The sequence below is a fragment of the Homo sapiens genome, chromosome 3 (genome assembly GCF_000001405.40).
Source record: "Homo sapiens chromosome 3, GRCh38.p14 Primary Assembly".
NCBI lineage: Eukaryota > Metazoa > Chordata > Mammalia > Primates > Hominidae > Homo > Homo sapiens.
This window is the reverse complement of record NC_000003.12, coordinates 67,068,548-67,078,749: the sequence shown is the minus strand read 5'-3', so window position 1 is coordinate 67,078,749 and position 10,202 is coordinate 67,068,548. Positions and strand designations below refer to the sequence as shown.

Here is a 10,202-nt window from a genome sequence, read left to right as displayed (position 1 = left end):
ACTGGATAGGAAAACAACTATAGCTTAGATATTGCAGAACGAAAGGTTAGTTAACTTGAAGTCATAGCAAATAGAAATTGTCCAAAATAAATCATAGAGAGATAAACAGCTCTAAAGATTAAAAAGGATATCAGTGAACTATGGGGAACTTCAAGCAGTCAAATATATGTGTAAATTATGCCTTAAAAAGGAGAGGATAGAAAGGAAACGGAAAATAAAATTTGAAAAGGTACCGAGTGCCACAATAGAGAGGTGTGGACAAAATAGCTGCCTCTGAGGCAAACTTTGGCCCATGAAAAGGCAAAAGATGAGCAGGAACCATTGGAAATGTCCTTATCTATTCCTCATTCTACTCTGGAATACCTGTGTTCTGTACAGGTTTTCAAGGGAGAGGCCACTTGGGTGAGTGACTTTGCATCTCACAAAGCAGCAGATGGCTGAATGCTGCATCACCTATATCTGCTTTCCATCTGTCTTAGTTTATTTGTGCTGCTGTCACAAAATACCACAGACTGGATAATTTACATACAACATAAATTTATTTCTCATGGTTCTGGAGGCTGGGAGGTCCAAGATCACGGTGCCAGCAGGTTTGGTGTCTGGTAAGAGCTTCGTCTCCCTTTCCAAGATGGCGCTTTCTTGCTGCATCCTTCAGAGAAAAGGAACACTATGTCCTCACGTGCTGGAAGGGATGGGAGGGCAAAAGAGAGCTCCCTTCAACATTGAGTCCTTTTATAAGGATGCTAATTCCAGTCACTAGGGCAGAGTCCTCATGACTTCCAAAGTTCATATCTCTTAAAACTATTGCATTGGTGATTAAGTTTCAATATGAATTTTGGAAGGGACACAAACATTCAAACCATTGCACCATCCTCTGACTCACACCATCTTGGGATTACACTTTCCTATAAAGCATTAGCATTTCTATGTTACCTCACCTTTGGTTTTAGCAAAACCCCAACTAAAACAGTACAGTGCAGGAAAGAAAAATACTTGGACTTGATGGAAGAAGGTTGAGGTAATTTTCCTCTGATTACTTCTAGTTTTTTTTCTCTGAAGATGATGATGAGATAAGGAAATGAAGCCTTGACAAGAGTGGAGAATATTTTACTTAAGTGCTGTAAAAAATAAGCAAAAGAGACTATATAAAACTGAAAATAGTATTATTAGAGAAAAAGAACAAGCCATTTGAGGTCAGTGACCACAATCATATATTAGCCTTAGTTTGCACAGTTGTATTCAGCACTTCCCAGAAGTCTGCATATGAAAAAGGTAGATTCTGGGATTTGTCCAAATATAGATGGAATTTGGTCAGTCAAGTGCAAGAAAAGGTTAAGAGGTCAAGGGAGTTCAGAATATTTGTAAGACAGTGATTGAAGAGAAGCAAATTCTAAGCTGAGCAGTGAAAAGTGAAATAAATTAAGACAGAGGAGCCTGGGAGGGAAACCAGAAAGGACTGTAGTCCTGAGTGTAGGCAAAGGCTGATTTCTTGGAAAGAATAGAGAGAATTGAAAGAAAAGAAGGTTGTGATCTGGGAACGCAGTGTCTAAATTGACAATATCAGGACTGAGTAAATTTCACTGACAGATGTAAAAATGTGATTATCAATGGGTGGCTAAAGTGGTGTGAAGAGAGTGACTCCAAAAGTCATTGGCAATGTAAAATAAAACTGGTTTGTAAAGCAAAAAACAGAAAATTAGAGCCAACTCTAGAATATTTTATCTCTTTTATGTTCTTTAACTAGGTTGCTTATTTTTGGACTAAATATCAACTGCCTTTCTTTACTAATTTGCCTTCCCCATATCAAAAATACTAGCTTGAGTTCAGAAGAACAAAAGTATATTTAAGTAAATAGAAGGTGAAATGTGTGGAAAAAAGGACAGAGGAAGAAATACTTCCGTTGGCAGGGTCAAAAGGGACAGGCAAAAGCCCAGTAAAGTTGAATGAGTCACTCACCTTGCCTCACTTTTTAAAGGTTTCACTTTCCTTGTATGTATAAAATAAAAATACTACTACTTATCTCATTAAGTTGTTTTAAAGATTACGTTGAGCAATTAAAATTATCTAATGCTTGACATATGAACTTATATAAACCTACAAATACACATGTGTTTAAACTAGGTTCTATTAGTATAGTCTTATATTAATGTGAGTTTTTAATGATAGAGTATAAATGCTTATAAACTGTTATTTGTATTACTGAGGTGCAAAAGGAATAATCTTTTAAAGCAAAACATGCACAATAAAACTCTGCTTTCTGTTGGACTGTCATAAGATATGTGATACCTAATTTGGAATAAGATGTGTCAGATGTCACTGTTAAATATTTCTTAGATTGTTTTATTTGGCAGCCCATTTCCATAAGTAACATCAGCCAGTTTGAACCTCATATTTTTTAGAGTCTTGTGTGGTACATAATTAATTCCCAGAGATTCTGTCCCTGGAGACCTGTTTGAAAAATAAAATAAAATGTAAATGATGTTATTTAAATGAAAAGCCCATAGGTTAAAGCTTTCATTTCTAGTGAAGATAGAATAAATACTCTCAGGCGAAGAATGAGCAATACCCACGCAGAAAGAATAGCAATGGCACGGCGGGAGGGGCCTGAACAAGGGAAGTGAATTCGAATGAACTCTACTGCTCACCTGCATTTCCATCTACTGCTTGGAACGTCTTGAATGGGACACTGGGATGCCAAGCTTCAATTTCTCCACCTTAAAAAAATAACCAACTTGTTGCTACCTATCTCCAAAGCTTTGTAGATTCCCAAATAAAATGGTGCATGTATAACCTGAATTTTACAAGTACACTATCAAAAAGGAGATATCATTCATCAGAGGCAACCTGGCCCCAGTGTTTTTCAGTTACATTTGATCTTTCAGCTGTTTCATGGCAGAACCATCTTCCCCAACCTTTTTATTTTTTTAAATCACTCTGTAAAACATTCTAGTTTACCGGGTGGTTTTCTTTACATTGTAAATCTCATTGTTTGCTGTTAACAGGAGTCTTTTTTTTTCTTCCAAAGTAAAGACAAAATACCTATTAAATGCAAAAATAGAACTTCTTTCATAGGGTAGGAAGTGGATTTGACATGAAATGAGCATCTAACCTGGCACATTTAATTGCAGTACTGAAGACCCAGAGATTTACTTGAAAATAAGCCAAGTACATTTAAAACTCTTATTACCCAGCAACGGGCAGTTCGGGGTTACATGCATATTAATCAGCAGAGACTGCTGGGGATCCAGGTGTGCAGGTGTTTTCCCTATATAAATGTGCATGTAAAAATGATTTGCATATTTAATTTCTCATAGCAACTTATTGAGTCAGCCAGTAGTCAGGTACTTTCCTGAAAATCTCAACTGAGAGTTTTCATTTCTTTAGGTCCATAGAAAACACAAAAAGAGGAAAGCAGCTTCAAACTGGAAAGCAATCCTTGGTTTCCTTGAAAGACTCCATAGGCCTTAATTCCTTAAAAATGTGTGTGCTGCAAAACATTGATTCCATGAATATAAATTCAGGAAAACTAAACAGAGGACTTATGTAAACTGTGGATAAAATATGAACATGAAACTAGAGGTAAAAGTGGTGGCATGAGATTCTTGGCTCCAACAGTTTTACATAGTCTCACTGAACATGGATGGACCAAGAAATTGTGTATAGGATTTCGCTGAAGACTACAGTGCACCATCAGATGATCATATCCATTCAAAAGCTGTAAGATTGAATAAGTAATTTGAAAGATGGCAGCTAATGGATTCTTAATCACTCTGGTTGTTTTGGGCTCTGGAAAGCATTCTTCTTATTCGGTTACAACATGTGTGTGTGTGTGTGTGTGTGTGTGTGTGTGTGTGTGTAATGGCCAATGAGATTATTGATTTTTCTCTTAGAAAGGTGAAAAAGTCAACTTATTTGGGGAAACAAGTCAGACTCTTGTCTATCAAGCCATCTACTCCACAGTTTGATCTTGAAAAATCTTAGTGATTTGGCTGTGCAGTGATACATTTTGATACTGGAGATAATAATGTGTTGTGGAGAATCTGGTCTTGGGGATATCACATGAAATAAAAAAAAAATAAAACTCTACTGCCCAAGCAGAAACAGAGGAGAAGTTACTTAATGGATACGATGTGTGTTATTCTGTTGATGGATACACTAAAAGCCCTGACTTCACCACTATGCAATATATCCATGTAACAAAATTATCCTTGTAACCCATAACTGTATACAAATAAAATTTTAAATAAAAATAAAGCCATTGAGCATTATTCCATCATCTGTGTGCTAGGTGTGTGTGCACAAAGTAGATTCATGGCTTGCATCTTACCGCATTCATCCATCTTAGCATATGCATGAGAATATGAGCAGGTGCCCTTCCATGTTACAAATTACTGGGATTATACTATCACCCAATGCTGTCACAAAGGAATCCAGCAAGAGTTTTTATCTCATTTCTACTGAGATGTTATATGTCATTAATGTTTTATTAATAAGCTTCTGGATAGAATATGATATTTGTCTTTTTGTCAATGAGAAAAGCTACAAATATAATGGCATATTCTCAAAGTTTCATAACAGACAGCATGGTGAAAACTAAGAAAATATTTAGATGATCTTTTTTTTATTTCACATGACACTCTTTCAACTGCCATGTAAAATCTTCATGTTGAAGATTCACTTGTCTCTACCTAAACAGATTCAAATCTTACATTCACCTCAAAGTGCTATTTATTGCATCATCAGTGTAATTCTGAAATCACACTTATGTAGTTATTGTATTGGCACTTTAAAGTAGCAATCTAGAAAGAGATGCCATGCCAAAAAAAAAAAAAAAAAAAAACCAAAGTATCAATGAGCCACTCATGAGCCGTAGAACCATTATTAAAAATTGCAATTATAACATAGTATAACTGTAGCAAATAAAAGTGGGAAATTAACTAATGAAAATGGCAATAAGAAAATGATGTGAAAACACATTAGTGAAATGATCTGCACCCTGTTAACTAAAAGTTACTGAGAACTAATCAGGCTTCTGTAGCCCAGACCTCAGAACATATGGGAAGGAGGATTTTATAATATTTCTATAACATTCATATCCTATATTTCAAAATCACTGAATATGTTTAAGCACAAAACACTTTTGCTTATTATTTTTATTATTTGTGGTATTATTTTTATTTCTGAGATAACTAAATTTCTGATAAGGCCCTCAATAAACCACCTGGGCCCCCATAAATCCCACTTGCAGAACTCTCACTCCAAGGAATTGATATCTTTTTCTCTTTGCAACTAAGGAGACTAGATCCAGTTAATTAGTCAAGCTACTTCCCCAAGGTCACACAGCTAATTAATTGCAGCTGACAATACATCCAGCATCCTCATCTCCTGACTGCCATTACGCCACACCTTGATTGAATCTTGCAGTCCACCCAAATCAGTGGTTTTCAAACATTAGTGAGCACCAGCATCACCTAGAAGTCTTGTTACAATATAGAGTAGTAGATTCCACCTGAGTTTCTGATTTAGTAGATAGAGCTAAAAATCTGCATTTCTAGCTATTATTAAAACATCAAGAAATAACAGATGCTGGCAAGGTGTGGAGAAACGGGAACACTTATACATTGTCGGTGGGAGTGTAAATTAGTTCAATCATTGTGGAAAGCAGTATGGTGATTCCTCAAAGAGCTAAAAGCAAAATAACCATTCGACTCAGCAATCCCATTACTGGGCATATACCCAGAGGAATATAAATCATTCTACCTTAAAGACACATGCACACAAATGTTCATTGCAGCAGTATCCACAATAGCAAAGACATGGAATCAACCTAAATGCCCATCAATGACAAATGGGATAAAGAAAATGTGGCACATATACACCATGGAATACTATGCAGCCATGAAAAGGAACAAGATCATGTCTTTTGTAGGAACACGGATGGAGCTGGAGGCTGTTATCCTCAGCAAATTAATGCAGAAACAGAAAACCAAATACCACATGTTCTCACTTATATGATATGAACTTATGAACACAAAGAAGGAAACAACAGACACTGGCGTCTGCTTGATGGTGGAGGGTGGGAGGAGGGAGAGGAGCAGAAAAGGTAACTCAGGTACTGGGCTTAATACCTGGGTGATGAAATAGTCTGTACACCAAACCCCTGTGATTCATGTTTACCTGTTTAACAAATCTTCACATGTACCTCCGAATCTAAAAATAAAGTTTTAAAAATCAGCATTTCTAACAAATTCCCAAGTGATCCTGATGGTTTTGGTCCAGGGACTGTAGTTTGAGAAGCACCGAGGTTTTGCTCTTCCCTGATAGTCCTCTGAAATAAAGCTTCTCAAATTTTTACATACATACAAATCACTTCAGGATTATGTTAAAATGCAGATTCTGCCGCTGTGATGAATTCCTAGATAATGCCAACAGATAAGTCTGTTCGTTGGAACAGACTTTGAGGAAAACTCCAAAACATACTCAGCCATCAAGTAAACCCAAGGAAGAAAAGAAACATGCAGATCGGGCCAGAAAATTCTAAAATTCTTCAAATATAGCATTACTTCCAAGGGGATGTGCTTGGATATACACATGAAGCAAACCCCATCAATTTTAGGAAGCAGGGAATGTCATTTATTTCCAGTTATTCTGTGTCATCACAATCCCCACTTCCAAAGAGTCCCTAAGGCTCCTGATTTGATGTCCGTCTTACTCTTTTACCTTTCCTTGGAGTACAGTAGCAATTTTAGATGTTTCCTAGGGGCATGTAGCCCAAATGCAGTGTGAAAGGAGAGTGTGTAGAAGATGTTGTTTGTATCTTGACCTGGTACTAAACTGCGTGTCTTGTGAACAAGGATCAGACCTGCCTCGTTATATTACCCTTTAAGTTCAGCAATCGATAACAAAACAAGCAAGCAAACCAGGTGTATGGGGCCTACATACCTCCACTTTCTGAACCAGCCTTAGAATCAAAAGTGCTTCATGTAATATTTACTCTGCAATTCAATAGGGCAGATCCTTCCACCTTTCCTCTCTCTTAACCTTCACCAATTGCAACTTTGACGTTGGTTTAGAAACATCCCCAGTTTTTCATCCTAAAATGCTGAGAACTCTGCCATTTGCAGGTTAAATTTGAGTGAATGGGTTTTGCCTTAGCATACTCCTCCCTTCTCATTCATTTATTTATGTTTTCAGCAACCCTAAGTGTCTTTCACCCAGCAATGCTTTGTGTCATTTGACTGTCAACTCTACGCATCATTCTTAGAGAAATATTTACTCTTACTCTGTGTCATGCCCTGTACTAAACACTGAGGATTCACTGTTCTAGGCACTGAGGACACAGCAGGGAATAAAACAGATAAAAGTCGGTGCCCCATGCAGCTTACTTCTACTAGGAAAAAGAAACAATAAGCAAGGTGTGAGAGTGTGTGTATGTGTGTGTGTGTGTGTGTGTTCAGATTGTGATAAAAGCTAAAAATGAAGCAAGAAAGTGGAACAAGAAACATTAGATGTAGCTCACATTTTAGGTATGTAGACATTTTAGACCGGGAAATGCTTCTCTCAGGAGATGAGTGGGGTAAAGATTGCAGGAAGTGTGGGAGCTAGCCCTCACTGTCTGGAGGAAGGGCTTTCCAGGCAGAGGTCACCACAAGTGCAAAGGTCCTGAAACAAGAGCACAGCTGACAAGTTCCATGACCAGCAATGGAGCCCACATGGCTGCAGCAGTTAGTGAAAGGGAGTTCTGTAAGCAATTTTGTCAAGAAGATAACAGGGGTACAGGTCACGTAGGGTGCTTAGATCATGGGACATCTTTGGAAGAGTCAGAACAGAGGAGTGACGTGACCTGATTTATGTTTTAAAGGACCACTATGTCTACCTTGTTGGACATATTTTACAGCTGGATAGTGGAGAAGCAGTAAGATGAATTAGCAGGTGATTGCACCAATCCAGGTAAGCAAGAAGGTGGCTCAGACGAGGAAGGTAGCAGTAGAGATGATGAGAAGTAGTCTGACTCTGGGTATATTTTGAAGGCATAGCTAACAGGTTTTTCTATGAATCTGATGTGGGATGCAATAAAAAGAAGTATAACACCATTGTTTTGGGTCTAAGCAAATTGAACTTAAAATTTCCCATTAACCTGACTGAGGCAGGCTACAGGAGTGAGCTTTGGAAAGAAAGTCAGAAGCTTGGTTTTGGACTGCAGACATCCATGTGGAATTGTCAAGAGGCAGCATATACAGGGCCCTGAGGCAGAGAACTGGAGATTGAAATGTGAGAGTCATTAGAATATACGTGACATTTAAAGTCATGAAAATGGGTGCAATCACATAGAAAGAGGATGTAGATGGAAGAGAAGAGATCCAAGGTTTGGGTCCTGGAGGATTTCCCCTTTAGAGATCTGGGACATGAGAAAGAACCAGTGAGCCCTCAAAAACAGGCAAACGATTGAGAGCCAAGGATGTTTGCCATACATTGTTCATGCCTCTGTGCACTCTTAAGGATCTGGGTCTGTATAGCCTCACACCTGCAAAAAAACATCCCCACTCTGGAAGACCAGCTCATCTTTACTGGGTGCTTACATGTGCCAGGAATTGTTCTGAGCAAATACAGAAAGTTAGAGCCACTTTTATTGTCATTATATACATGAAAAATGTATAGATTGAAGGGACTAAATAACTTGCTTAGATTCTATCATTTACTCATTAATTCTTTGGACTTGTGAATATTACTAACCTCTTGGAATTTTAATCTCTTCATCTGTAAAGTATATCAGCTTTTCCTGCATGGATATGGAGCATCTAACAGATGGAATCTCTTATTATTCCTTAGTGTTATCCTATAGTTTCTCCTCCTCACCACCACAACCCATTCAATTGATTCAACCTTCTGACTGGCTTGAATGTGTCTCTCCCTTTCTATCCTCACACCACCAGAGTCTCTTGTCTCTTCACTGGATTTCTTTTCTCCTGATCTCTCTCTCTCTCTCTCTCTCTCTCTCTCTCTCTCTCTCTCTCGTCTCTCTCTCCCTCCCTCCCTCCCTCCCTCTCTCTCTCTCTCTCTCTCTCTCACCACAAAGCAGCCAGAATTATCTTTCTAAAATGCAAATCATATCACATCACCTACACTGCTTGAAACATTTCAATTACTCCCTGCTACCCTCAGGGTAAAGCTGTTTGGAAGTCACTTCTTTAACCTTTTCCTGACCTAAGCTATATTAGGCCCCTCTTCCATGTGCTCTGTCTGTATTTTTAATAAAATAGCACATTGAGAGATGGATGAATACTGTTTACAAGCCCGGGCCCCTTCTCTTCCCCTACATGCCCTCTAAAATACTGTAAATCCCTATGAAGGCAGGATCATACTCCAATGAATCCTCCATATTTAGTACAGGGCATGACACAGAGTAAATATTTCTGTAAGAATGATGCATAGAGTTGACAGTCAAATGACACAAAGCATTGCTGGGTAAATGACACTTAGGGTTGCTGAAAGCATAAATAAATGAAAGAGAAGGAAGGAGTATGCTAAGGCAAAACCCATTCACTCAAATTTAATCTGCAAATGGCAGAGTTCTCAGTTCAAATGAGATCTGGTTGTTTAAAGAAGTCTGGGGGCCAGGCGCGGTGGCTCACGCCTGTAATCCCAGCACTTTGGGAGGCCGAGGCGGGTGGATCATGAGGTCAGGAGATCGAGACCATCCTGGCTAACAAGGTGAAACCCCGTCTCTACTAAAAATACAAAAAATTAGCCGGGCGCGGTGGCGGGCGCCTGTAGTCCCAGCTACTCGGGAGGCTGAGGCAGGAGAATGGCGTGAACCCGGGAAGCGGAGCTTGCAGTGAGCCGAGATTGCGCCACTGCAGTCCGCAGTCCGGCCTGGGCGACAGAGCGAGACTCCGTCTCAAAAAAAAAAAGAAGTCTGGGACCTCCTTCTCTCTCTCTTGCTCCTGCTCTTGCCAGGTGACATGCTTCCTCCCCTTTCACCTTCTGCCATTTTTGAAAGCTTCCTGAGACCTCACCAGAAGCCAATTGGATGCCGGCACCACCCTTCCTGTAGAGCCTGCAGAACCATGAGCCAATTAAACTTCCTTTTCTTGTAAGTTACCTAGCCTTAGGTATTTCTCTATAGCAATATAAAACCAAGACCAGACAAACACAGTGGGCATAGGTGATACAGTTTTAGCATGTTTGTTACAATAAAACAT

The 10,202-nt window shown here is 38.9% G+C and overlaps 1 long non-coding RNA gene across 1 annotated transcript; it reads right to left on the bottom strand.

Annotated features, from left to right (window-relative positions):
* Positions 1 to 520: 520 nt before the first annotated feature.
* Positions 521 to 2,716, bottom strand: LOC124909391 (uncharacterized). Its single transcript, XR_007095954.1, has 2 exons — positions 2,646 to 2,716; positions 521 to 682 (listed from the first exon to the last, which is right to left on the bottom strand). It is a non-coding gene; the product is annotated as an uncharacterized LOC124909391 (long non-coding RNA).
* Between the last annotated feature and the right edge of the window lie 7,486 nt (positions 2,717 to 10,202).